This window comes from Homo sapiens, chromosome 19 (genome assembly GCF_000001405.40).
Source record: "Homo sapiens chromosome 19, GRCh38.p14 Primary Assembly".
In the NCBI taxonomy this organism is placed as follows: domain Eukaryota; kingdom Metazoa; phylum Chordata; class Mammalia; order Primates; family Hominidae; genus Homo; species Homo sapiens.
Window position 1 is genome coordinate 57,267,193 of NC_000019.10, and position 27,173 is coordinate 57,294,365.

Consider the following 27,173-nt stretch of genomic DNA (forward strand, 5'->3'; position numbering starts at 1 on the left):
AGCTGTTATGGTTATAGTTTATTACAATAAAAGGATATAGACCAGGATCACCAAAGGGAAAAATCACATAGAATGAAGTCCACATGAAAGCAGGCACAAAACTCTGGGTGTTATCTCCCATTACGGTCACATAGGGACACACTTAATTCCCCCAGCAAAGATGTGTGACAAGATGTTCACAGTATTATAATACAAGCCAGGGAAGTTCACTCAAGCATTCATTTCTGGGGTTTTTATGGAGGGTCATTTACATAGGAATGCAGGGTCCACATAACTAGTCATAGCCATACAGCCCTTGCAAAAAGCAAACATACAGTGTGGCCCAGGGCCTCGGGCATGCAAAATCCAGCATTCACCATGAGGAATATTGTCAGAAGCATTTGAACCACAGCAAATCCGTCTTGAATAGGGGCTGGGCAAAATGAGGCTGAGACCTGTGCTGCATTCCCAGGAAGTTAGGCATTCTAAGTCACAGGAGGAGACAGGAGTTTGGTGCAAGACACTGCTCACAAAAACCCTGCTGATAAAACAGCTTGTGGTAAAGAAGCTGGCCAAAACCAAGACGGCCAAAACCCACCAAAACCAAGACGGCCAAAACCAAGACGGCCAAAACCCACCAAAACCAAGACGGCCAAAACCAAGACGGCCAAAACCCACCAAAACCAAGACGGCCAAAACCAAGACGGCCAAAACCCACCAAAACCAAGACGGCCAAAACCAAGGTCATCCTCACTGCCCATTATATCCCAATTATGCATTAGCATGCAAAAAGTCACTCTCAGCAGCACCATGACAGTTTACAAATGCCATGGCAATGTCAGGAAGTTACCCTATATGGTCTAAAAAGGAGAGGAACCCTCAGTTCTGAGAACTGCTCACCCCTTTCCTGGGAAACTCGTGAATAATCCAACCCTCCTTTAGCATATAATCAATAAATAACTATAAGTAGCCTTAGTCCAGCAGCCCAAACTACTGCTCTGCCTATGGAGTAGCCATTTTGTATTCCTTTTTTTTTTTTTTTTTTTTGAGACGGAGTCTTGCTCTGTTGCCCAGGCTGGAGTGTAATGGCATGATCTTGGCTCACTGCAACCTCTGCTTCCCGGGTTCAAGCGATTCTCCTGCCTCAGCCTCTCGAGTGGCTGGGATTACAGGCATGTGCCACCACGCCCGGCTAATTTTTGTGTTTTTAGTAGAGATGGGGTTTTGCCATGATGGCCTGGCTGGTCTCAAACTCCTGACCTCAGGTGATCCACCCTCCTCGGCCTCCCAAAGTGCTAGGATTACAGGCGTGAGCCACCGCGCCTGGCCCCTTTACTTTCTTAATAAACTTGCTTTCATTATGGACTCACCCCGAATTCTTTTTTGTGGAAGATCCAAGAACCCTCTTGAGGTCTGGATTGGGACCCCTTTTCAGTAACAATGTTCTTAGAATAAATTATCTCATCAAATCGATACATGAAGGCCTATGGACTCAGGCTTAAAAATTACTTTTACCAGGCAAAATATTCCAGAAACTCAGAGATTGTCTTCCTGGAGCTGATCAAGGGCCATTTCTTTCTTTAGAATGTATAGCATCTGAGCAACTGAAGCCTGATGAGTTCACACTTTCGTGTATAACCAAAGCCCTGGCCCTAGCCTAGAATCTCTTACAGCAAAACAATCATATTTACTGAGCATCTACATTTAGTATAACATTTATATAAGATATATCAGCAGTATCATCATGAACATGCTGAGCCACTGGAGCAGCTCGTGTGGGGAATGGATAGATTTAGAAACAACAATCCATCCCATAAAGCCATTCATACTTTTCCATATATTTGTATCAATTCAATTACTCATTGTTCTCCTTGATCTACTGTTAATTGTACTTTGTGGTAAACCACCTCCCCTCTCACTACATTGGCTTAAGTTATCCTCCACCTTGCACATCTGGAAAGAGCCAGAGCTCCCTAACAGGACTTCTCCCTCTTGCCCCTCCCATATTCCAATTTCCATAGACTACCCAGAGTGATCCTTTTAAAACATAAATCAGTCCAGGCACAGTGGCTCACGCCTGTAATCCCAGCACTTTGGGAGGCTGAGGCGGGTGGATCACGAGGTCAGGAGATCGAGACCATCCTGGCTAACACGGTGAAACCCTGTCTCTACTAAAAATACAAAAAATTACCCGGGCATGGTGGCACATGCCTCTAATCCCAGCTACTCCAGAGGCTGAGGTGGGAGAATCGCTTGAACTCAGGAGGAGAAGGTTGCAGTGAGCCGAGATCACGCCATCACACTCCAGCCTGGCGACAGGGCAAGACTCCGTCTCAAAAAACAAACAAAAACATAAATCAGATAACATCACAGCTCTGCTCAAAACCCCATGATGGCTACCCATTTCACAGTGTATTAGCTATATTTTCTTATTTTCTGCATTGTTGATGCTATGGAATTTGGGACCTTGCCATTTAGAGTTAACTGATTCTTAGAGATTGCAAATGACTCACTCTGAACCATGCCTTTTATTTGCATACTAACAAATCCAGAGTACCCTAATGTGAATCATCTCCTCTGTCTGGCTCTTACACTACAGGAGACAATTTTTTTTTTTTTTTTTTTTTTTTGCTCTAATGACTCCAGGGCCAGGTACTAGGCAGACAGGGACAGCTCCTAGACCCCAAAGTCTACCAACTTTATTCAAACCAGCAAATCCTCTTCTGGTTACCCAGCCCTGCCTTTCTTTTCCTGTGGAAAACAATAAAGGATCTGGCCTCTGCTTTCTCCTCTGCTTCTGCTTCTTATACCACCCTGGTGCTTCTCACATAGCCCTGCAGGATGTGTTTTGCCTACTGTTTCTAAAACTCCGTGAGTTGAAAGTTCTTCCTTCCTGGCAATCATTTGCATGTCCGAGTTTCTTATCAGACCATACTGCAAAAAACCCCAGGTACATTTTTGAACACACAGGAACATATTACAACCTCTCTACGCTGGCATAAAAGACTACACAATTTGTTTCCATCTATCTCTCCAACTTCCATGCACATTCAGTTCCAGCCGCACTAGGCTTCTTGGTGTTCCACAAACACCCAGGATGCTCTGTCAGTTCCATTGTCCTGTGTGTTTTCTCTGAGTGATAACACTGTTTCCTGAGATCTCCACTTGATGAGTCTTTAATTCCTCCAAGTCCATGCTAAAACATCACTTTTTTTTTTTCTTTTGAGACGAAGTCTTGCTCTGTCGCCCAGGCTGGAGAGCAGTGGCGTGATCTCGGCTCACTGCAACCTCTGCCTCCCGGGTTCAAATGATTCTCCTGCCTCAGCCTCCCTAGTAGCTGGGACTACAGGGGCCCACCACCACGGCCAGCTAATTTTTTGTATTTTTAGTAGAGACGGGGTTTCACCATGTTAGCCAGGATGGTCTCGATCTCCCGACCTCATGATCTGCCTGCCTCAGCCTCCCAAAGTGCTGGGATTACAGGCATGAGCCACCACGCCCGGCCTAACTGTCCTATTAGACCTGTCCCAACCACTCTGTATTGCACAACTGGCTTTATCCCACTCTCACTGATTCTTAATCTGCTCTAGTTTGTCTTATCTCCGCAACACTCCTAACCTTCTATATTGTTTAGGAGTTTTGGATTATTATTATTTTGTGTGTGTGTGTGTGTGTGTGTGTGTGTGGTATGTATGTGTCTCCATTGTGACTTTTTGTTTTTTTGTTTAGAAACAGGGTTTCGCTAGATAGCCCAGGCTGGTCTCAAACTCCTGGTCTCAAGCGATCCTCCTGTTTCAGTGTCCTGAGTAGCTAGGACTACAGGAACAAACCCACCAGGCCCAGCTCTGTATCTCCACTGTTTAGAGCAGAGCCTATCACAAGATAGTCAAGTACTTGTTGAGTTAATTAATTAAAAGTTAGTAAATATATAAAAATATATTTTCAAATGGTTATGAATGTCCTAAAGAAAAATAGAGCAGAGTAATATTGGGGTGAGGGACTACTTTAAAATTTTTATTATTGTTATTATTTTTTAAACAAACAGGTTCTCTCACTCTGTTGCCCGGGCTGGAATGCAGTGGCACAATCATGGCTCACTGCAGCCTAAACCGCCGTGGCTCAAGTGATCCTCCTCCCTCAGCCTCCCGAGTAGCCAGGACTATAGGTACCCACCACCACGCCTGGCTAATTTTTAAATTTTTCACAGAGACGGGGTCTCACTATGTTGCCCAGGCTGGTCTTGAACTCCTGGGCTCAAGTGTTCCTCCTACCTCGGCTTCTCCAAGTGTTGGGATTACAGGACCCCACACCTGGCCGGAGGAGCTACTTTAGATTAAGAGATCCGCACTTGAGCCCAGGAGTTTTGAGAGGAGCTGGGCAACACAGTGAGACCCCATCTCTACAAAAAATAAAAAAAAAATTAGTTGGGTGTGTTGGTGTGGGCTTGTGATCCCAGTTACTCAGGAGGCTGAGGTGAGAGGATCACATGAGCCTGGGAGGTGGAGGCTGCAGTGAGCTATGACCCTGCTACAGTACTGCAGCCTGGGTTACAGAGGAAGACCCCATCTCAAAAGAAAAAAAAAAGAGTAAGAGATCTGGAGAGGCCTCTATGAGAAGGGAATGGTTGATACAAGCTGAGACTCATTACCTGGACCACATGTCTACAATCCAGGTGGCACTGGCTCAACACTGTATCTTTTACATCATCTTGCAAAGTGCCTTCCCTCAGCTTCTCTAAGAAGTATTTGTAGAGTGAATGTTGAGTGGATTTTATAATAATGCTGTGAAATCCCCATGGTCTCCTGGCACCACTGTAGGACTGTTACTGTAGGACTGCGGGGTCACCCCTGGCTGTTAAGGCCATTTCCCTTTCTCTTCTCTCAGCAACCAGCCTATGGCTTCAGGGGAAACTTCCAGTTCAAGACTGAAAGTCATGGTTTTGGCCCTGAGATGTATTTCTGCTCCTGACTCCATGAGAACAAGACAGATTCTACAGGGAATGAAAGGAGAAGCTACAAGGAATGAAAGGAGAAGGAATGAAAGGAATGAAGGGAGAAGGAATGAAAGGAGAAGCTGACTGGAGCAAACACTAGTTATGAAAGGATTCCCTATGAAGTGAGACTTGAGATGAAGAGGAAGCAGCAGATTCCAGATGAATTTTAGGGTTGGAACCCATATATTACCTTCATAACCAGAGAGCCTGGTATTCTTGATTCTTCCACTATAGACCACTGATGTGGTTTGAGAAGAGAGTACAGAATGACACCACTTTCAACAATACCCAGAGGCATAAATTGCTCCAAAGCTTTTTATCAGGCTTGACCGAACACGGTGGCTCACACCTGTAGTCCCAGCACTTTGGGAGGCCAAGGCGGGTGGATCACATGAGGTCAGGAGTTCGAGACCAGCCTGGCCAACATGGTGAAACCCTGTCTCTACTAAAAACTACAAAAATGTAATCCCAGCTACTTGGGATGAGGCAGGAGAATAGCTTGAACCTAGGAGGCAGAGGTTGCAGTGAGCCGAGATCACGCCATTGCACTCCAGCCTGGGTGACAGAGCAAAACTCCGTCTCAAAAAAAAAAAAAAAAAAAATCAGGCTGTTTGGGTTCCCAAACTGTTTGATATTTGTTCTACCTCAGGTTGGCGTACCTCCACATGTTTCTTTCCAGGCTCTCTGCTTGTCCCCTCAGGCAGTATCTCTGGATCTGGGTTCTAAAGCTGGGAGTGGGAACAATGGCCCACTTCTGACATCCTGCTTTGAGGGTTGAGTGCTCAGTGGTAGCGGGTGGCCAGTGGTCTCATGTCTTTTCAGCTGCCCTGTCATGGTACACTACTACAGACTTTCAGTGGGGCAAGTGTGATGAATCCCCAGTGCTCAGCATCATGATGCCCAAGGAAGGGCCTTCATCTCACCAACACTGGATGGGTGGAGGAAGGGAGCTCCTGCCTCTGGGGCTGCACTCACTAGGGATTTAGCCTCAGCAAGTTTCTGGTGGCAAGATAAGAAATGCTGACATCCTACCCTGCTGGGAAGACAGCCCTCTGTATGGAAGCTGAGAGGGAGAGCCCTGTGTTCTTGTCTGCAACACTGTAGAGTACAGTTTCCATATCATTGAACTGGGAGGGCTGAAGGAAAGAGATAGTCTTGGTTCAAATACCACAGACTCTCGCAGTTCTTACAGAAGGACAGATTCTCTTGAATAAATATTTTTTCATTTGATGTATATCCTTAGGACTATCTCCAGAGACACGACTTTTTTTGTTTTCATTTTTGTTTTTAATAATTTTCAACAGTTTTGTTGGGGAATAGGCCCACAGAGCTCCTTATGCTGTCACGCCAGAAGTCTCTCCTTGCTTTTTTTGTTTTAAACTTTTTATTTTCTGACAATTTTAGCTGTAAAGAAGCAAAGATATTACAGAGTTCCTATATAACTTCATGCAGCTCCACCTCATGTTAATACTTCATAAGCCTATGACATATTTGTCAAAGCTAAGAAATTAACATGGTATACTACTACTACTACTAACTGAACTACACACTGTATTTGGATTTCACCAGTTTTTTTCCACTAATGTCCTCCAGTTGCAGGATCCAGTCCAGGACACCACATTTCAGTTAATCATCTCATCGCTTTAGTTTTCTCCCATCTGTGACAGCTGCTCTGTCTTTTCTTGTTTTTCATGATCTACATACTTCTGGAGTACTCATAATGCAATGTCCCTTAATTTGCATTTGTCTGGTATTTTTTCATTATTAGTCTAGAATTGTGGGTTAAGGGGAAGAACATCAGATTGGCAAAGTGTCCTCCTTGTATCATCATAGTAGGTGTTACGTGATGTCAAGATGACTAAAATGGACCAGGCACGGTGGCTTACGCCCTGTAATCCCAGGACTTTGGGAGGCCGAGGCGGGTGGATCACAAGGTCAAGAGATCCAGACCATCCTGGCCAACATGGTGAAACCCCGTCTCTACTAAAAATACAAAAATTAGCCGGGCGTGGTGGCGTGCAACTGTAGTCCCAGCTGCTCAAGAGGCTCAGGCAGGAGAATGGCTTGAACCTGGGAGGCGGAGGTTGCAGTGAGCTGAGATTGCGCCACTGCACTCCAGCCTGGGAGACAGAGCAAGACTCCATCTCAAAAAAAAAAAAAAAAAAGATGACTTAAGTGATGCTAACCTTGATCACTTGGTTAGGTACTTGTCTGCCAGGTTTCCCCTGTCAAGTTACTGTTTTCATTTTCCACAATTAGTCACTAAATCCAGCCAACTCAAGGGGAAGACCACAAAGCTCCACTGTCTGAAGGGGGCTGTTGGTATCTATGTATACTATTTGCAATTCTTCTTTAAGATTGGTTTCTTCTCCTTGTTTATTTATGGGTGAGCCTTATTAATTACTGGTTTTAATTTCTGAAAAATCAAGTAAGTGCTCACCTTAGCAATACATATATTAAAAATCAAATGTAAGTGCTTCTATGTGTGTTTTGTGAATCCCGTCTTATACAAATAAGGTAAGGGAGATACTAAGATTTGGAAATAGTTCGTCTCCACCAAAACTCATGTTGAAATTTGATTTCCAAGCTGGGCATGGTGGTGTGCACCTGTAGTCCCAGCTACCTGGGAGGCTGAGGCCGAAGGATCACTTGAGCCTAGGAGTTCACAGACAGCCTGGGAAACATAGTGAGACCCCATATGATATGGTTTGGCTGTGTCCCCACCCAAATCTCATCTTGAATTGTAACTCTCACAACTCTCATTTGTCATGGGAGGGATCGGTGGGGGGTGACTGAATTATGGGGCAGGGTCTTTCCTGCGCTGTTATGATAGTGAAGGAGTCTCACCAGATCTGATAGTTTTAAAAACAGGAGTTTCTGGCTGGGTGCGGTGGCTCACACCTATAATCCCAGCACTTTGGGAGGCTGAGGTGGGCGGATCACAAGGTCAGGAGATCAAGACCATCCTGGTTAACATGATGAAACCCCGTTTCTACTAAAAATACAAAACATTAGTGGGGCGTGGTGGCTCACGCCTGTAGTCCCAGCTACTCAGGAGGCTGAGGCAGGAGAATCACTTGAACCCGGGAGGCAGAGTGAGCCGAGATCGCGCCACTGCACTCCAGCCTGAGCAACAGAGTGAGACTCCATCAAAAAAAAAAAAAAAAAAAAAGGAAACATTCAGTAAGCTTGTTCTGTATTCCTACACAAAGAGTATAACAGCAATATATTCCACAAGAGTAAAGCAAAATAAGTAAAGTTATTCTAAGTAAACTAAATTAGAAGGCTTTTCATGAACTGAGCAACTGTTGGAACTAAGCTGGCATGGGGTTGTTAGCTGATTATAATGTGCCCAGAATTGGAATATTGATCCAGATTTTTACATTACCCATCCCTCTTATTTTTTCTGAGCAGCAGTCAGAGATGTTGGTTCACAGGAATAAGCAGGGTAGCTTAAATTGCAGAAACAAACTTAAAAAGAACTAATGAGACTAGAATTTAATAACAAGTATACCATAGTTCTTGAAATATAATATTTCTCTCTCCAGTTTCCCATTTTTACTAAAGACAAATTAGGGTAAGACTGATTTGATTTGCTTTATTATACTTGGCCTGATTATTTATATAAAGTGCAGCAAGAATAATTATTTTCCACATAGGCATTTTTTTTTTTTTTTTTTTGAGATGGAGTCTCGCTCTGTTGCCCAGGCTGGAGTGCAGTGGCGCGTTCTCAGCTCACTGCAAGCTCCGTCTCCCGGGTTCACGCCATTCTCCTGCCTCAGCCTCCCGAGTAGCTGGGGCTATAGGCACCCGCCACCACGCCCAGCTAATTTTTTTGTATTTTTAGTAGAGACGGGGTTTCACCATGTTGGCCAGGCTGGTCTCGAATTCCTGACCTCAGGTGATCTGCCCTCCTTGGCCTTCCAGAGTGTTGGGATTACAGGCGTGAGCCACCACACCTGGCCTATCCACTTTTAATTAAGCTAACTTTTAACCATAGTGCTCTTTAAAAAAGAAATCCTTTCAAATCTCTTATTACCCAACTTTAGCCATGCCAAGAAGCCAATATTTCTAACTTCTGAACTTTACCAAAGGTTATCTCCTACGTGCATAGAGAAAGGAAAATTTAAGACAGTCTGCGGAGGAGAAGAGACTAGACAAGGTCACGCAGATATTAAACCAGAAATGACTTACTTCCTAGGTGGGGTATCAAACCCAAACTGCCACTGTGAAAGTGCAGAAACCTTAGTTACTGAGCTACAGTGTGGGACGGTGCCTACTTCCTTTCACAGAAGCCTAGAGTAGTTAATTTTGAGCTTGCAAAGGCTTTTAACTATTTTATATGATTTTTAGAGCTGACTATGACATGAACCCTAAAATTCCTTTTCCCTAGTAGGTGGAGACCAAGAGAAGGTACTGCCACATGGTTAAAAGGTCAGGCTCCCAAGGACATAAAACAAGGGGAGACTTCATCCTGTTTGTTTGTTTCAGGGACCTGCAGCTGTTTGTTACTGACCAGTTTGCTGGGTCATGTTGAAAAGTGGGCTCACAGGTGTTCTAAGCCCATGTTTCATCCTACAGAAAAACAAATTCACAGCACAAAATACACCAGTTTGACTAGCTTAGAATTCTTTTTCATATTAATCAAAACTTTACAGAGGAGATACACACTGATTTATTATTTTTATTATTGTTATTATTTTTACCATTCATTCAACCGTTTGCACAGAGAGGGAGAAGTCAGAAATCTGACTGGTAACAAATTCTTACCTTTTTGCTGGCATGCCAGGCTTCTGTGTTCCCTTTCTCTGAGTGGTCCCAGTGATCTGGCTTGTGGCACCATCGCCCTGGGGGCCAAGCCTCATTGTAAAGGAAAACTACTTTTTTTCATTCTGACCAGAGCAAAACACATGTGATGAAACATACACATTAGCCACTCTGCTTAGCACCCAATATTAAACTGGCAAGGCTTAAATTTGCCCCCAGATAGGCCCTGTCATCTTTAATCCAACCTCTGACTTGGAGTTTCAACATGTGGTCTCTGGGCAAGATGGTCGCCCTGAGTAATAGAGTAATAGAAAAGATAAGAAAGGGGCCGGGCGCAGTGGCTCACGCCTGTAATCCCAGCACTTCAGGAGGCCGAGGCGGGCAGATCACAAGGTCAGGAGATCGAGACCATCCTGGCTAAGATGGTGAAACCCCGTCTCTACTAAAAATACAAAAAATTAGCCGGGCATGGTTGCAAGCGCCTGTAGTCCCAGCTACTCGGGAGGCTGAGGCAGGAGAATGGCCTGAACCCGGGAGGTGGAGCTTGCAGTGAGCAGAGATAGCGCCACTGCACTCCAGCCTGGGCGACAGAGCGAGACTCCGTCTCAAAAAAAAAAAAAAAATTATATATGGAAATGCTTTCGCAGGCAATACTTTCCCAGGAAATATTTTCCACAAGCAATACTTTCCCAGGGAAGGCAAAATGATCAGGGAGGCCAGAGAAAGACCCACCCATTGCAGTGACACTGAAAAGTTCAGGCGGCTACGGCTGCTGTCGTGAAGGGATTTTTTTCCAGCAGTCCCGTCAGCTCTCAAGTTTCCCCTTTTGGGGGAGGAAAAAGCTCCCCATGTCCCACGATCCTGTACACGCCTAACCCTGTCGCCCGGAGCCATCAGCAAAGAGTGCAAGGCAGATTAATCCAAAGACAATAGCAGTTAACATCCCACGGTGCCAAACCTCTTCTTAGCCAAGAGGGACTTTACTGAGAGGGGTCTCTAACCCCCTAAATCTTAGAAGGGACTCTAATCCTCCTAAGTTGGGCCTCTAACCCAAGGTCAGTCAAGCGTCCTTGCCTTTTATTAAGAGGGGCCTCTAATCCACTCTGCCTTAGGAGAGACTCTAACTCCCCTAACTTGAGCGTCTATCCCAATCCCATTCTTTACCTGGGTACCCCACCACTTACCCAAAGTCATCCAATCAGTGCTGCAGTCTATTTCCTTTGAGTCAGGGGGGTCTCCTCAGCATTGTCCCTTTTGTGGTTTGCGAGAAAAGTGTTACCCGACCCCACCACTTACCCAAAGTTAGCCTTTGGGTCACGGGTTCCTGCAGTATAGTCTCTTCTGTAGTGGCCAGGAATGTGTTACAGGAAAGGGGTCCCAATCCATATCCCAAGAGAGGGTTCTTGGATCTCGCACAAGAAATAATTCAGGGCGAGTCCACAGTGCAAGTGAAAGCAAGTTTATTAAGAAAGTAAAGGAATAAAGAATGGCTACTCCATAGACAGAGCAGCCCCAAGGGTTGCTGGGTGCCCATGTTTATGGTTATTTCTTAGTGACTTGCTAAACAAGGGGTGGATTGTTCATGCCTCCCCTTTTCAGACCACATAGGGTAACTCCCTGACATTGCCATGGCATTTGTAAACTGTCGTGGCACTGATGGGAGTGTAGCAGTGAGGAAGACCAGAGGTCACTCTTGTCACCATTTTGGTTTTGGTGGTTTTGGCCAGCTCCTTTACTGCAACCTGTTTTATCAGCAAGGTCTTTATGATCCGTATTTTGTGCTGACCTCCTATCTCATCCTGTGACTCAGAATGCCTTAACTGTCTGGGAATGCAGCCTAGTAGGTTTTAGCTTCATTTTACCCAGCTCCTATTTAAGATAGAGTTGCTCTGGTTCATATGCCTCTGAAAAAACCATTTAAATTTAATTATAAGAGTCTGGCCAGAGGGGGTGGCTCACGTCTGTAATCCTAGCACTTTGGGAGGCCGAGGTGGGTGGATCACCTGAGGTCGGGAGTTTGAGACCAGCCTGAACAACATGGAAGAACCCTGTCTCTACTAAAAATATAAAATTAGCCAGGCGTGGTGGCGCACACCTGTAATCCCAGCTACTCAGGAGGCTGAGGCAGGAGAATCGCTTGAACCCGGGAGGCGGAGGTTGCAGTGAGTGGAGACTGTGCCACTGCTCTCCAGCCTGGGCAACAAGAGTGAAACTCCATCTCAAAAAAAAAAAAAAAAAAAAAAAATTTAAGAGTCACAAATATGTGAAAAAGAGAATGATGTCTTTATCAATTTTCAAAAATTACTATTGCCAGTGATGAATAACAGTGTTCCTTGCACACTAATTTAGCCAAAAATATTTCTCCAAAAGTACCGCATCGTGTAGGAAATTGACTCCATCTCCATTCCTTGACTATTTTCAATCTCAAAATTAAATCTCTTGGAGAGTACTTTCTGCACACCTTTCTATTTCCTTAACCATATATATCGTCAAACCATTGAAAGCTGGACTTTATTCTCTCACTTTCATAGTCATGAAAAGAAAAAAAAAAAGTTACTGATGGGGACTCCTAAGACTTCGCATAATATAATCTTTGCATAGTCTAGGATTGTTAAAATTCCTAACAAGACTTTATAAACTCTCCTGTCTGCAACCAGTTAATGCTGGGTTGGGCCAGGGTTCCCCTCTTTCCCGTCACTTATCCATCTACGCTCATTCTTTTCATAGCCTCACCCAATATCATGACTTGAAGTAACAGTTTACAGTAATAACTCCCAAATTTATATATCCACGCTCGAACCCTCTGCCAATGTTGAATCATAGGTTGAGTATATGGCACTACGCTTTGTGGTCTTACTGACGTTTCAAACTGATCATGCTTGAAATGGGAGTACTGGGCTTCCCGGCAAGCCTGCTCCACTAGCAGCCTCCCCACCTCAGGGTACGGGAAGTCCACACGTGGCGAACGCGAAGCCTATTACATCACCCGGAAGTCCCTGCATCCTACGAAGGCTGGGCCCGGCCAAAGGAGGCCCAATAGAGGGCGGTCTGTCCTTTCCCAGCAGGCTGGGCACACTGTCAGGCGTCCTCCTTTGGGTGGCTATTTTAACTGCTCATTTATCCTTTTCTTCTATGAAAAGATCCAGAAAAGAGGCAAAGCAAGCGAGAAGTCGCGGGCCCAGCCCACAGCAGGGTAAGCACCTTTGTTCGGGGTCTGAATCGGGGCGAATATCCCCGCCTCCTGACCTCGATTTTCCTGAGCTAGAAGGGACCTTTCGACCCTCCGACTTGTGCCTATACTAAGGCGGTGGCCCTAAGACGACGCGGGGGTTCTGGTGCGCACTTACGTGCAGTCGGATGCGCTGGGTGAGTTCCCACACCCGGTAGATGTAAGGGAAAAACTGCATTACCCAGAAGGCACTGCCCCTTGCGTCGGCCGCGGACTCTGGGCCATTGACGACCCAGGACAGGAGAGTTTTCTGCGGGCCAGGGCGGCGGAGGCGGGACTTCCGCTTCTTCGTGTGACGTCATCTCCGTGGGCCGGTTTGGCCCTGAAACAGTGTGGGGCCTAGAGCGCTGGGTGGGCGCGTTCTGCGGCCTGAGCAGGGACGGGTAGTGAAGCGGTTACGCCCCTTCTTCGCGTCTTGGCGGGAGCCTGACGCCCCGCTTCTCCCCTAACGAGGTGTCCCACCGGCGCCCGCCGAGGCCTAGGCCTCCGCAGCCGCCCTCCGTCTCCTCAGCCCCGACGCTGCGCCTTGGGCCTTGTGCGCATTTTTTTCGGGGGAAAACTGAGGCTCGGAGTGCGAAAGTCAGCCGAGGTCGCCCCGCCCAGGACAGAGAAGGGCTGTGGTCGGCTGATCCGCGGCATTCCCGGGATGGCGGCGGCGTGGATGGCTCCGGCGCAGGTGAGTGGACGAGGTTTCGGCCTTGCTGCTGCTGTGCTATTTCTAGAGGCCTCGTGGGCAGGCTGGAAGCCAAGACAGCCACAGGATTTTTCTTTGTCGCCATCGTTTATTTAAGAGAAATGGCCGTGGCTTGTCATTTCCTTTATCCGCAGTCCTGCAACAGTGTTGGCCTCTGATAGGTGTTCAGTCCGTGGTTGAAGGAGTGATGCTTCCTTCTAGGGATCTCATCACACTTCCCCTAAATCCAACCTTCTCTGTTGCCTGCCAGCCCGTACCCCATCCACCTGGCCAACCACCCCTGACCTTGTCTGTTTGCATTTTTCCCTGGTCCTTTGCTCTTCAGAGCCACCAACCTGACCGTGCAGTCCTCTTCCATTTTCCAGGCTTTCTCCTTGCACTTCCTTTTACTTCGAACACTGCCCCTGTAACTTTGCAGGGCCTCCCTTTCACATCCTTTTGGCATCTGTCCAGGTGTCACCTATTTGGAGGTGCCTTTTTTGGCAATTCCGGCTAAAGTGGCACCTTACACCCTTGCCCAGAGTCTGGTATTTTTGTGTAGATAATCTGATGGTATTAAAGAAGCTTGTGGATTTGAGTTTGTCAAGGATGTAATGGGAACAAAGAAAAATAATTGCAAAGAATGATATTAACTGTCATTGAGTCCTTGCTGTGGGCTGATCGGTGAGTATTATTTAACCCTCAGTTCGTTTAACCCTGAAATTTTTTTTTTTTTTTTTTTTTTTTTTTGAGACGGAGTCTTGTTCTGTCGCCCAGGCTGGAGTGCAGTGGCGTGACCTCGGCTCACTGCAACCTCCGCCTTTTGGGTTCAAGCGATTCTCCTGCCTCAGCCTCCTGAGTAGCTGGGACTACAGGTGTGCGCCACCACGCCTGGCTAATTTTTGTATTTTTAGTAGAGACGGGGTTTTACCGTGTTGGCCACGCTGGTCTTGAACTCCTGACCTCAGGTGATCCACCCATCTGGGTCTCCCAAAGTGCTGGGATTACTCTTTAGAATTAGGTTCTGTTGTCATCATTGTTTTACACAAGAGCAATTTGAGGGTCACATACGTCCAATTACCTGCCTTACATCACTGTAGCTCTTAAGTTTCTTAAGTCAGAAACTAACAACTGGTGTGTCTAACATCATAGCCTGTGTTTTTACCCTCTTCTTTACCCGCAGTGGTTAGGGAGGCCTGGGGGTGAGACCTAAAGTAACCTTTGCAAGATGAGGCCTCCTTCTAGCCAGTGATCTTGGGCATGAGGAGTCATGGCCTTTCATACTGGTGGAACTGTGTAGACTTAAAAAATGGTATATTGGTTGTTTAAGGAGTTCTCAGGGGACCTGTGTGGCTTCCACGGTGGTTTTATATGTGGTTCCCCTTACTCCCTTACCTGCTGACATATTCTGAGAGGGCACGTTTGTATGGTTATGTTGCTGAATGTACCCTCCTACTCAGCCAGGATAGATGTAATCTCCAGATGGGCCCATATTGTCTTGGCTACAACCTGCTGTGCCCTCTATGACTCTTGTTGCTTGCTCATGGAATCTTCTGGCCTCAGGGATGCCTGCTAGTAGGACTTAGGTAGAAAAGGAAGCGATGGCTCATTGTGAATTCTCCCTGGAAGCAGGTCCAGGCCCTAACACCTGATCAGGTGTCACCACGTCAGGTGATTCTTTGGTGAGGTGGATGATGATGACTACACTTCTCTGCCCTTGTCCATGGGAGTGGCTGAAATGTATATGTGGATTTGAAATGCTTCATTCTCATTAACTGCATTAACTTTGCTAATAGAGAAATGTCAGGTTACATAATCAGACCAGAGGGCCCTGGGCTTAAATCCTGCCTCTGTTGATAAGACCTGTGACTTTGGGCTGGGCTTGGTGGCTCACACCTGTAAACCCTGCACTTTGGGAGGCTGAGGTAGGTGGACTGCTTGAGCCCAGGAGTTCAAGACCAGCCTGGGCAACATGGGAAAACCCTGTCTCTACAAAAAGTACAAAAAATTAGACCGGCATGGCATCATGTGCCTGTAGTCCCAGCTGTGCAGGAGGCTGAGGTGGGAGGATCACTAGATCACAGGAGGTCAGGGTTGCAGTGAGCCGACATTGTGCCACTGCATTCCAGCCTGGGTGACAGAGTGAGACCATCTAAAAAAAAAAAAAAGAGAGAGACATGAACACATGAGACTTTGGGTAGACTGGTAGAGCGGAGGGTAGGACTGAGGCCCAGGTCTCAGGTCCCTGAGTGTGACATAGAGATGATGATGGTAAATTCAGATGCTGTGGCCTTTGCCTCAGTGTTTGTTTGTTTTTTTTTTTTTTTACAAACAGTTTTTCTTTCTTTCTTTGTTTTGATGGAGTCTAGCTCTGTTGCCAGGCTGGAGTTCAGTGGTGCGATCTCGGCTCACTGCAACCATCGCCTCCGACGTTCAAGCGATTCTCCTGCTTCAGCCTCCCGAGTAGCTAGGACTACAGGCACACACTACCACACCCAGCTAATTTTTGTATTTTTAGTAGAGATGGGGTTTCACCTTGCTAGCCAGGATGGTCTCAATTTCCTGACCTCATGATCTGCTCACCTCAGCCTCCGAAACTGCTGGGATTACAGGCATGAGTCACCGTGCCCAGCCTACAAACAGTTTTTCTTTAGTTCTTTTGACTATTCTTTTTTTTTTTTTTTTTTTTTTTTGAGACAGAGGCTCGCTCTGTTCTGGAGTACAGTGACACAGTCTTGGCTTACTGCAACCTCTGCCTCCCAGGTTCAAGCGATTCTCCTGCCTCAGCCTCCCTAGTAGCTGGGATTGCAGGCTTGTGCCACCACACCTGGCTAATTTTTGTATTTTTAGTAGAGATGGGGTCTCACCATGTTGGCCAGGCTTGTCTCGAATTCCTGACCTCAGGTAATTCATGTGCCTCAGCCTCCCAGAGTGCTGGGATTACAGGCATGAACCACCGTGCCCAGCCTTGACTATTCTTGATGAAGTGGGAAACACGGTTATATTGACCTGGAAATGGAGGCTCGGCGAAATGAAATGAGGTCCCCAAGGTCACATAGCAGGCACACGTTGATTTCAGGAATTTGGTTTTAAACCTCAGGAGTCTGGCTCCTGAGCTGGGGAGTTTCAGTCACTTTACCATGGCATGTAAACCTGTCAGCATGAGGCAGGCACACAGGGAGGATTGGTAAGACTCAGATACTGTTCCTGTTATTGTTGCTGGTGGTGATGTTTTTATTATTATTATTTCCCATTCCTCTAATATGTCAGAGCACTTACTGTCTGTGCCTCTCAGTCCACTTGGGATTGTCCTAACCTTATTTCTGTGTTAAGTTCAAGTGGCTTCCTGCCTAGGAGGCTTTATTTATTTATTTATTTATTTATTTTTTATTTATTTATTTATTTTTTTTTGAGACAGAGTCTTGCTCTGTTGCCAGGCTGGAGTGCAGTGGCACGATCTCAGCTCACTGCAATCTCCGCCTCCCAGGTTCAAGCAGTTCTCCTGCCTCAGCCGCTTCTGTCTCCTCTTCACTGCTGTAATCCATGCAAGGCAGTGTCCACATTCCCCTTGATCCTAGCACAGATCTTGGCCCTTTGGAGGTGCTTGGTGATTTGGCCTTTGATTCTCTGTGCATCTTTTGCAGTGCTGGAGTGACAGGTTCTAATCCTATTCCACAGTTGCAAAGGAAACATTACTGGTTCTTTTTGACTTTTCAGGAGTCTGTGACCTTCGAGGATGTGGCTGTGACATTTACCCAGGAGGAGTGGGGGCAGTTGGACGTGACCCAGAGGGCCTTGTACGTGGAGGTGATGCTGGAGACCTGTGGGCTTCTGGTCGCACTGGGTAAGGCCTGTCCTCTCCTCTCCAAAATCAGGGGCACCAGAAAGCAGCTTCATTCTAGCCTTCATCCTGGCTCCAGGCCTGGCTAGTGGAATAGGTCTTGGGAGCCAGCCCTCCTGTTTCCCAAAGCTTTACTCTATTTTTTTTTTTTTTTTTTTGGAGACAGAGTTTCGCTCTTGTTGCCCAGGCTGGAGTGAAATGGCGTGACCTTGGCTCACCACAACCTCCGTCTCCCCGATTCAAGTGATTCTCCTGCCTCAGCCTCCAGAGTAGCTGGGATTACAGGCATGTGCTCCCATGCCCAGCTAATTTTGTATTTTTAGTAGAGAAGGGGTTTCTCCATGTTGGTCAGGCTGTTCTCAAACTCCCGACCTCAAGTGATCCACCCACCTCAGCCTCTCAAAGTGCTGGGATTACAGGCATGAGCTACCACGCCCAGCCTCATTTTTTTGACTCACCTTATTCTTCCTGATCTCTTTGTGTCTTACTTAGAAAGGGTTGGCTACGAAATATAGTTTGCTTTTGGTCACAGCCAAAGGAGAGGGATGTGTTACCAGGAAATGGGATGTTTTGTAGAACCCAAAGGCAGGATTTGCAGCCAGGCCCCCCTGTGGCACTAATACTGGTTGTCTGGTGCTGGCTTCCCTTTATGGGTCTGCTCCTGTCACTGTCTTTTTATAATGGCTTTTTCTGGCTCAGCTATTGTGTGGAACGAAGTGACCGTCTAGTCTTGTTCTCTGAGGCTCACACATTCCTTGGCACTACTACTTCCTGCATATTTTTGTTGTCTCTCTGTTGATACTCTTCTCACTTAATTCTCCCAGCATCCCCATCGTCAGTGAGTAAGGATAATAGGGCCATTGCAATGAACACCTCAGAAACTTAATTAATTCAGTTTAAGAGATAAACCTTCATTGTGAGATGCTGTTCGTTGCATTTTTTTTCTTGGTAAAGGTTCTTTCTTTTGTGATGTGTTGATTTTGATGTTTGTGCAAACGTCTATATGTGGCCAAATCGCTATTTGGAGTTCCCTCCCAGTTTTTTATTTTTCAGTGGTTCATGAAATGTCGAAGCGTGGAGTCACCACGTCTACCCCTCACTCTGCTGCCCTGTTCCCTTAGGATTGAGTTCTTCCACTCATGTCTCCCATTCTTTATGGCCTCCTTGTTTTGAGACTCCTGGCACCACACGGGGGTGTTCTTCATTTCCTCTGAGCACAGCACTTGGGAGACCAAGGTCTGATGCCTCAGAGTCCAATTCCAGCTCTACTTTTTGTCAGCTGTGTGTTCCTGGGCAAAGTACTGAACTCCTCTGTGCCTTAATTTTCTTTTTAGAATTTTTTATTTCTTTATACCCATGCCAGTGCAGAAAAGTGCCTCAATTTTCTCATGGGTAAAATGGGACAATATGTGCCAAAAAAGGCATACGTTTGTTTCATTGTACTTTGCTTTACTGCACCTTGCAGTTACTGTATTTTTAGAAGTTGAATGTTTGTGGCAACCCTGAATTGAGCAAGTCTGTCCCGCACCATTTTTCCAACAGCATGTGCTCACTTTTTGTCTGTGTCACGTTTTGGTAATTCTTGCAGTATTTCAAATATTTTTATTAATATTATATCTACTGTGGTGGTCTGCGATCAGTGGTGTTTGATGTTACTATTGTAATTGCTATGGGGCACCATGAACTGCACCATGTAAGACAGCTTTATCAATAAATGTTATGTGTGTTCTGACTGCTCCACTTACTGGCCATTCCCTCTCTGTCTCTCTCCTTGGGCTTCCATATTCTCTGAGATACAACAATAATGCAGTCAAGTCAATTAATAACACTAAAATGGAAGCCAGATGCCTCTAATCCCAGCTACTCCGGAGGCTGAGATGGGAGGATTGCTTCAGGCCAGGAGTTCGAGACTAGGCTTGGCATCATAATAAGACTCCATCTTTTTTTACTTTTTGAATAAGCTATAACTCATATGCTGTGTTGTGCAAAAATCCTAAGAAGTCCAGGCCAGGAGTGGTGGCTCACACCTGTAATCCCAGCACTTTGGGAGGCTGAGGCGGGTGGATCTCCTGAGGTCAGGAGTTTGAGACCAGCCTGGCCAACATGGCGAAACCCCGTCTCTACTAAAAATACAAAACAATTAGCCAGGCGTGGCGGTACACACCTGTAATCCCAGCTACTCGGGAGGCTGAGGCAGGCGAATCGCTTGAACTCAGGAGGCAGAGGTTGCAGTGAGCCGAGATCGTGCCACTGCACTCCAGTCTGGGCGAAGAAGGAGACTCTGTCTCAAAAAAAAAAAAAAAAAAAAGTCCACTCACTGAATTTTTGCTTATGTATAAACCCAAGTAACTACCACCTACATCAATACATAGGCTATCTCCAGCTCCTCATCAGGGTTTTATGCCCTCGATAGCTTCTTTGATTCTATTAGCTCATATTTAGACTTCATCAGCACAGATTGGTTGGCTGTTGTTGAACTGCACAGTGTGCTCTCTGACATATCTGTCTTCTTTTGATCATCATGTCTGTGTTATTCTTTTGAGGTGTTTATATACAGTCGGAGTTGGTTCATTCTCAATATGTTGTAGTTTCTCATTGTATGTGAAACTGCCATCCATTTGTCCATTACCCTGCTGATGGATGTTCCTGTTGTTTTCAGGTTTTGGATATGTTGCTGAGAGTATTATTGTTCATATTTTCTGGTGGATGTAAATACTGATTTCTGAATTGTGTGTTAACAGTAAATTCTGTTAGAATATACTCGTGTGTACATATCAGGTCATGGAGTAGGTTGTATATTCAGCTTTCTTTTTTTCTTTATTATTTTTTGTAGAAATGGAGTCTCACTATGTTGCCCAGGCTCATCTTGAACTCCTGGCCTGCACTGATCTTCCCTCCTTGGCCTCCTAAAGTGCTGGGATTATAGGCATGAGCCACACTGTGTGGGTGTGTTCAGCTTTAAAAGAAACTGCCCAGCAGTTCTGCAGAATGTACCATTTCACTTTCTGACCATGGACATGTGAAAGTTTCCATTGCTCCACATCTTCATAATCACTTGATAACATCATTCCCCTTTGGGAGGTCTAGGCGGGCGGATCACTTGAGGTCAGGAGTTATCAGCCTGGCCATCATGGTGAAACCCCATTTCTACTAAAAATTTAAAAATTAGCTAGGTGTGGTGGCAGGTGCCTATCATCTGAGCTACTCAGGAGGCTGAGGTAGGAGAATTGCTTGAACCTGGGAGGTGGAGGTTGCAGTGAGCCAAGATCACACCACTGTACTCCAGACTGGACGACAGAGCGAGACCCCATCTCAAAAAAACAAACAAACAAAAAAAACCATCATTTCATTTTACTGTTTGAGTCCCTGTGGTAGGTTTCTCTATATCACAGCACAGAAACCATTGTAAGGTCACTCCTTTCATTCCTAATTTTCAAATACAACAGTGACCATAATGATAACTGATGATGGCCCACAATTTACCGATCTCTTATGTAGTGTCTAGCACTGTGCCAAGTGCTTTATAGAAATTTTCCCCTTTTTTAAGAGACAGGGTCTTCCTCTGTCGCCCAGGCTGGAGCGCAGTGGCACCATCATAGCTCACTGTAGCCTCAAACTCCTGGGCTCAAGCAGTTCTCCTACAGAGTAGCTGGAACTACAGGCTCATGCTACAACGTCCGGCTAATTTATTAATTTTTTTGTAGAGATGGGATATTGCTATATTGCCCAGGCTACTCTTGAACTCTGGGCCTCAAGCAATTCTTCTGCCTTAGTCTCCCAAATGTAACGGGATTACAGGCATGAGCCACCGTGCCCAGCCAAGAATTTTCCTATTTAACCCTCATCACAGCCTATGAAACAGAATCTGAGAGTTTCTGTTTTTCAGATGAGGAAGTGGAGACTAGGATCAACTAAATCATTTCTCTGGCATCAGCTGACTTGGTACAGGCAAGATTTGAACTGAGATGTTCTGACTCCAGAGCTACACTCTTAACCTCCCTTCAATATGAACTCACGATTCAGCACAGAGTTTTCATATTTTGTGCTTGAGCATTGGGCCGTCTTAGATTCTCTTTCTCTGTTCTCACTGGGCTTTGGTTCTCTTTTTACTCTGATCTTCACTTTTATGTTGGCTTCATCAGTTATCTCATAGCCCATCCTTTTTACTCTTACATACTCTCCAAGGCTAATCCACACATTCTTTTTATTTATTATTATTACTTTTTTTTTTTTTTTAAGAGATGGATCTGGCTATGTTGCCCAGGCTGGTCTCGAACTCCTGGGCTCAGCTTCCCGAGTAGCCAGGATTACAGGCAGTACCTTTCAGATTGTGTCTTTTTCTAGTATTTTCAGGTTATTGTTTCTCAGGGTTGTATTGAATTTCTGGATCAGTTTTTAGAGAATTGATAATTTTATATTATCAATTTCTTCATTCAGTTAGATCTTTATTGTCTTGAAATAAAGTTTTATTATTTTCTTTTTCAAGATCCAGTTGTTTGTTAGCCTTTTCGCCTACCTTTCACCTTGACAGTGGATTCTATATGTCTACCAGGATTCTGTTCACCCTCTGTCCTAGGAGCTCTGTCCTAAGAGTAGCTGTGGCCATCACTAGCTGTCCCTCAGGCAGAATCTTGAGCATCAGCTTCGTCTCCGCCCCTTCCTGTCTCTGAATCCTGATCAACCTTAACTTCTTATGGGGCTGCCTCCTCTCACTGCAGTCCTCTGGATTCGCTGAAGACTCTGTGTCTTTGTATATTCTATGTCCTAAGGCTAATATGTCCTTCTAACTTTAAGCTCATGAAGCATCCTCTCTGGGAAGCCTCCTTGACCTCTTCCTGTCCCTGCCCCTTCTAGGCTACATTAAGTGCCCCTTCCCTGGCCTCTTGTAGCTCCTTGACATGTTCTTGAGCAAGCTTATGATAGAGTGTCATCATTATGATGTCCACCTAGTCTCATCTTGACTGTGAGTGGGGATCTCTATTCCAGACCATCTGTACTCTGCTTGAGCTTCTCCCTCTGGGTTTCTCTTTAAAAATTTCAAGAGTTGGCCAGGCACGGTGGGTCACGCCTGTAATCCCAGCACTTTGGAGGCAGAGGTGGGCGGATTACTTGAGCCCAGGAGTTCGAGACCAGCTTGGGCAACATGGTGAAACCCCATCTCTATTTTAAAAATACAAAAAATTTAGCCAGGCGGGGTGGCTCACACCTGTAATTCTAGCATTTTGGAAGGCCGAGGCAGGCAGATCACCTGAGTTCAGGGGTTCTAGACCAGTCTGGCCAACATGGTGAGACCTCATCTGTAAAAATACAAAAAAATTAGCCCAGCATGGTGGCGCACACCTGTAATCCCAGCCACTTGGGAGGCTGATTCAGGAGAATTGCTTGAACCCAGGAGGCAGAAGTTGCAGTGAGCTGAGATCATGCCACTGCACTCCAGCCTAGGCAACAGAGTGAAATTCCATCTAAAAAAAAATAAACAAAAAAAAGCCAAGCGTGGTAGCATATGCCTGTAGTCCAGCTACCTTGGAAGCTGAGGTGGGCAGATCCCGGGTGATCCGCCTCAGCCTCCCAAACCAAAGTGCTGGGATTACAGGCATGAGCCACCATGCCTGGCCTTTTTTTGAGATGGGTTTCCCTCTGTCACCTAGGCTGGAGTGCGGTGGCTCAGTCTTGACTCACTGCAGCCTCCACCTCCCAGGTTCAAGCGATTCTCCTGTCTCAGCCTCCCCAGTCGCTGGGATTATAGCCGCCCGCCACCATGCCTGGCTAATTTTTGTATTTTTAGTAGATATGGGGTTTCACCATGTTGGCCAGGCTGGTCTCAAACTCCTGACCTCAAGTGATCCGCCTGCCTTGGCCTCCCAAAGTGCTGGGATTACAGGGATGAGCCACTGTACCCAGCCCATCAAATCATAGCTATTTTCAAATCATCACTATTTTCATCTTATTGTTCTCACCAAAAAGGTGGTTTCATTTCTTCTGTACTATCTTAATAAGTTCTTTTGTGTATTGTGTTCCCTTCAGGTGACAGCACAAAACCTGAGACCGTAGAGCCTATCCCTTCTCATCTGGCCTTGCCTGAGGAAGTCTCACTCCAGGAACAGCTGGCACAGGGAGTCCCAAGATACTCCTATTTGGGGCAGGCCATGGATCAAGATGGGCCATCTGAAATGCAGGAATACTTTTTGAGACCAGGGACAGACCCACAGAGTGAGAAACTCCATGGGAAAATGAGCCTTGAACACGAAGGTTTGGCGACAGCTGATGGTATTTGTTCAATGATGATACAGAACCAAGTCTCACCAGAAGATGCTCTCTATGGATTTGACTCATATGGACCAGTTACAGATTCCTTGATTCATGAAGGGGAAAATTCCTATAAATTCGAGGAAATGTTTAATGAGAATTGCTTCCTTGTTCAGCATGAGCAGATTCTCCCTCGTGTGAAGCCCTATGATTGCCCAGAATGTGGGAAAGCCTTCGGCAAGAGCAAACACCTCCTTCAGCATCACATCATCCATACTGGGGAGAAGCCCTATAAATGCCTGGAGTGTGGGAAAGACTTCAACCGCAGGTCACACCTCACACGGCACCAGCGGACTCACAATGGAGATAAGCCCTTTGTGTGCAGTGAATGTGGAAGGACCTTCAATCGCGGGTCGCACCTTACACGGCACCAGCGGGTTCACAGTGGAGAGAAGCCTTTTGTGTGCAATGAATGTGGAAAGGCCTTTACCTACCGCTCCAATTTTGTCTTGCATAACAAGAGCCACAATGAGAAGAAACCCTTCGCATGCAGCGAATGTGGAAAAGGCTTTTATGAGAGTACAGCCCTCATTCAACACTTCATTATCCATACTGGGGAGAGGCCCTTTAAGTGCCTTGAGTGTGGGAAGGCCTTCAACTGCAGGTCACACCTCAAGCAGCATGAGCGGATTCACACTGGTGAGAAGCCCTTTGTGTGCAGTCAATGTGGAAAGGCCTTCACTCACTATTCCACCTATGTCCTGCATGAAAGAGCCCACACTGGAGAAAAGCCTTTTGAGTGCAAAGAATGTGGGAAAGCCTTTAGCATTCGAAAAGACCTCATTCGACACTTCAACATCCACACTGGAGAGAAGCCCTATGAGTGTTTACAGTGTGGAAAGGCTTTTACCCGCATGTCAGGGCTCACAAGGCACCAGTGGATTCATACTGGAGAGAAGCCGTATGTATGCATCCAATGTGGGAAAGCCTTTTGTCGGACCACAAACCTGATTCGACACTTTAGCATCCACACTGGAGAGAAGCCCTATGAATGCGTGGAGTGCGGGAAGGCCTTCAACCGCAGGTCACCCCTCACAAGGCACCAGCGGATTCACACTGCAGAGAAGTCCCACGAACCCATCCAGAGTGGGAACGTTTCTTGTGAGAGCACAGATCTCATTCAACACTCCATCATCCACACTGAGAGTAGCCCAGTGAGTGCAGTGAATATGGAAACGCCTTCAATTGCCGCTCATTCCTCCTCACTCGACATCAACGGATTCATAGTGGAAGAAACCCTACCATTGTAACAGATGTGGAAAGACTTTTTACGTACACTTCAGTCAACATCCAAGAATTCCTATTAGCGAAATAGTTTTTTAATATAACCACTGAAGAAAATCTGTGGTGAGAGGAAACATCTTACCATCTGGTCATTCATACTGAAGAGAAACTCCATAAGTATCATCTCTGTGGGAAAACCTGTTTTAGATCATCATTTGTCATCTAAACAATTATGTTAGAAATTGACACAGCCAAGAGTCTTATTCTACATCTGATAATTCACCCATGAAAGAGACCCAGTGGTTACTGTGCACTTAGGAAAACCTTCAGCCACATCTTTCTTATTAGTTTACAGTGAAATGTTATCTCAGGGACATTCAAACAAAGGAGGAGGAGTCATAGGGAAGAGAAAGAAATGGAAGCACAGCTTCTTTCAGACTTCCCTGACAAGCCCATGGCAATTTGTCATCCCCTCCTTATTTTATTTGGGAGAGGGAAATGTTTCAGAAACAAAAGGGCCTCATCCCCTTTATTTTCCCTGTGTATACATTCACTGCTGTCCAGTGCTGTAGACAAACGGTTTGTTTGAAAACATTTTGTGAAAGCCTGCTTTGTTCCACAGCATTGTCTCCACTCTTGAGGAGCAGAAGCATATATCTTTATGAGAAAGATGGAGGCTTGAGTTATGAAATACTTTTACATTTAAGGAGATAAAGGATGTACATATGAATGGGCACATTTTACTGCACACTTCAGACGCTTTGACTTTTTTAAAAAAATTGTTTCTCCGTGTGTCTTTAACCACCCAGTACCATACTTTTTTCTTGATCTGGATCTACTTGTCAATTTCTTCTTTATTTTTCTGTAGGATGGAGATGATATTGTAGCTGTTTGTACATAATGTAATCCAGGGAGTCCTAATTCTTCCCTCTGATTGTGGTTTCTCAGCTTTTTTACTGCTCTTTAGAGAGAGTAAATAGTTCAAAATTCACCTCAACAATTTTCTAGAGGTCAATTTGGAACCAAAAATGAAATAAGACATGTAGCTAAAGTAAGTTAAAAGATTATGATAAACTCAGAAAATAAACACAGAGAAGGAATCTCATTTTTCAGTCTTACAGAAGATTGTGTGAAGGCTGACTATACATAAAGTGACTGGAATTTTAACAGGTGAACCTGCATATGTATATGCAGGTAGTTGTCACCATGGATTGAGTCCAGTCGTAGTAATTAATATGTTTAATCAGAATATTTTGGAATTTCTCTTTTGGTATTCTTTTTGTTTCTTTTATTGTTTTTAATTGACAATGTTTATGGGGTTTGGTGTGATATTTCAATACATGTGTGCTAAGAGTAATGATCAAATCAGGGTAATTAGCATATCCATCTCAATCATTTATCATTTCTTTGTGTTTAGAAACATTCACAGTCTGCTTTTCTAGCTATTTGAAAATATAAAATGTATTATTGCCAATTGTACTCATTCTGCAGTGCCACAGAACACTACAACTTATTCAAATGGAATCTTACTTGCTGTAATTTTGTATTTGTTAACCAATCTCTATCTGCCTCTCTGCTGTCCTTCCCAGCCTCTGGTTACCACCATTCTCAACCTTTTATGCTTGCATATGAGTAGAAACATGGAGTATTTCTCTTTCTGTGTCTAGCTTATTTCACTTAATGTCTTTCAAGCTCATTCATGTTGCTGTGAATGACAGGTTTATTTTTCATGGCTGAGTAGTATTCCATTGTGTATATATGCCATGTTTTCTTTCTTCATTCATCTGATAATGGACACTTAGACTGATTTCTTAGCTATTATGAATAGTGCTTCAATAAACATAGGAGTGTAGATCTCTCTTTGACGTATAGATATATTTGTTTTTGCATATATGCCCAGTAGTGGTATAGATCATTACCAGTGGATCATATGGTAGTTGTATTTTTAACTTTTGTTTATTTTTCATTTTTTAAAATGGGGTCTTGCTGTGTTATTCAGGCTGGTCTCAGACTCCTGGGCTCAAGCAGTCCTGCACCTCAGCCTCCTGAGTAGCTGGGACTACAGGCACACACCACCGTGCCTGGCTATAGTTTTAGATTTTTGAGGAACATTCATACTGTTTTCCATATGGCTATACTAATTAGCATTCCTACCAGCCAT

General features: G+C 45.2%; 1 protein-coding gene and 1 long non-coding RNA gene across 5 annotated transcripts, besides 9 other annotated features; one reads left to right on the plus strand and one right to left on the minus strand.

Moving 5' to 3' along the window:
• On the minus strand, nt 1-13,142 carry ZNF460-AS1 (ZNF460 antisense RNA 1). 2 transcript variants are annotated; one of them, NR_136528.1, is made up of 4 exons: nt 13,087-13,142; nt 10,924-10,990; nt 9,743-9,864; nt 1-520 (listed from the first exon to the last, which is right to left on the minus strand). It is a non-coding gene; the product is annotated as a ZNF460 antisense RNA 1 (long non-coding RNA). The 2 variants fall into 2 exon arrangements; NR_136529.1 differs by lacking the exon at nt 10,924-10,990.
• Nucleotides 4,771-4,830: a silencer, noted in NCBI's record as "silent region_11074". NCBI's record gives its function as "represses an Ori minimal core promoter by ATAC-STARR-seq in GM12878 lymphoblastoid cells {active_cell/tissue: GM12878}" and the evidence as "EXISTENCE:reporter gene assay evidence [ECO:0000049][PMID:35858748]".
• Nucleotides 5,869-6,163: a silencer, noted in NCBI's record as "tiled region #5355; K562 Repressive DNase matched - State 9:DNaseU". NCBI's record gives its function as "represses a minimal TATA promoter and a strong SV40 promoter by Sharpr-MPRA in K562 cells {active_cell/tissue: K562}" and the evidence as "EXISTENCE:reporter gene assay evidence [ECO:0000049][PMID:27701403]".
• Nucleotides 12,489-13,428: an enhancer, noted in NCBI's record as "active region_15129". NCBI's record gives its function as "activates an Ori minimal core promoter by ATAC-STARR-seq in GM12878 lymphoblastoid cells {active_cell/tissue: GM12878}" and the evidence as "EXISTENCE:reporter gene assay evidence [ECO:0000049][PMID:35858748]".
• Nucleotides 12,489-13,751: a biological region, named in NCBI's record as "BRD4-independent group 4 enhancer GRCh37_chr19:57791112-57792311".
• Nucleotides 12,543-13,134: an enhancer, noted in NCBI's record as "NANOG-H3K27ac-H3K4me1 hESC enhancer chr19:57791103-57791694 (GRCh37/hg19 assembly coordinates)". NCBI's record gives its function as "activates a minimal SCP1, AML or CMV promoter by ChIP-STARR-seq in primed H9 embryonic stem cells {active_cell/tissue: H9 hESC(primed)}" and the evidence as "EXISTENCE:reporter gene assay evidence [ECO:0000049][PMID:30033119]".
• Nucleotides 12,552-13,751: an enhancer, noted in NCBI's record as "BRD4-independent group 4 enhancer chr19:57791112-57792311 (GRCh37/hg19 assembly coordinates)". NCBI's record gives its function as "activates an origin of replication core promoter dependent on BRD2, P300/CBP, MED14 and CDK7 cofactors, and independent of BRD4, by STARR-seq in HCT116 cells {active_cell/tissue: HCT116}" and the evidence as "EXISTENCE:reporter gene assay evidence [ECO:0000049][PMID:35650434]".
• On the plus strand, nt 12,790-26,877 carry ZNF460 (zinc finger protein 460). Of its 3 annotated transcripts, none has more exons than XM_047438079.1 (3): nt 12,790-13,105; nt 17,359-17,485; nt 23,507-26,877. In XM_047438079.1, exons 1-3 carry the CDS (start codon nt 13,097-13,099, stop codon nt 25,036-25,038), a joined length of 1,668 nt encoding a protein of 555 aa, XP_047294035.1. In that variant the 5' UTR covers nt 12,790-13,096; the 3' UTR covers nt 25,039-26,877. The 3 variants fall into 3 exon arrangements, with proteins under 3 accessions (XP_047294035.1, NP_001317551.1, NP_006626.3); NM_001330622.2 differs by having other exon boundaries at nt 12,790-12,932; NM_006635.4 differs by lacking the exon at nt 12,790-13,105 and adding an exon at nt 13,293-13,644.
• Nucleotides 13,135-13,726: an enhancer, noted in NCBI's record as "NANOG-H3K27ac-H3K4me1 hESC enhancer chr19:57791695-57792286 (GRCh37/hg19 assembly coordinates)". NCBI's record gives its function as "activates a minimal SCP1, AML or CMV promoter by ChIP-STARR-seq in primed H9 embryonic stem cells {active_cell/tissue: H9 hESC(primed)}" and the evidence as "EXISTENCE:reporter gene assay evidence [ECO:0000049][PMID:30033119]".
• Nucleotides 14,149-14,198: a silencer, noted in NCBI's record as "silent region_11075". NCBI's record gives its function as "represses an Ori minimal core promoter by ATAC-STARR-seq in GM12878 lymphoblastoid cells {active_cell/tissue: GM12878}" and the evidence as "EXISTENCE:reporter gene assay evidence [ECO:0000049][PMID:35858748]".
• Nucleotides 14,655-14,774: an enhancer, noted in NCBI's record as "active region_15130". NCBI's record gives its function as "activates an Ori minimal core promoter by ATAC-STARR-seq in GM12878 lymphoblastoid cells {active_cell/tissue: GM12878}" and the evidence as "EXISTENCE:reporter gene assay evidence [ECO:0000049][PMID:35858748]".
• Nucleotides 26,878-27,173: the final 296 nt, after the last annotated feature.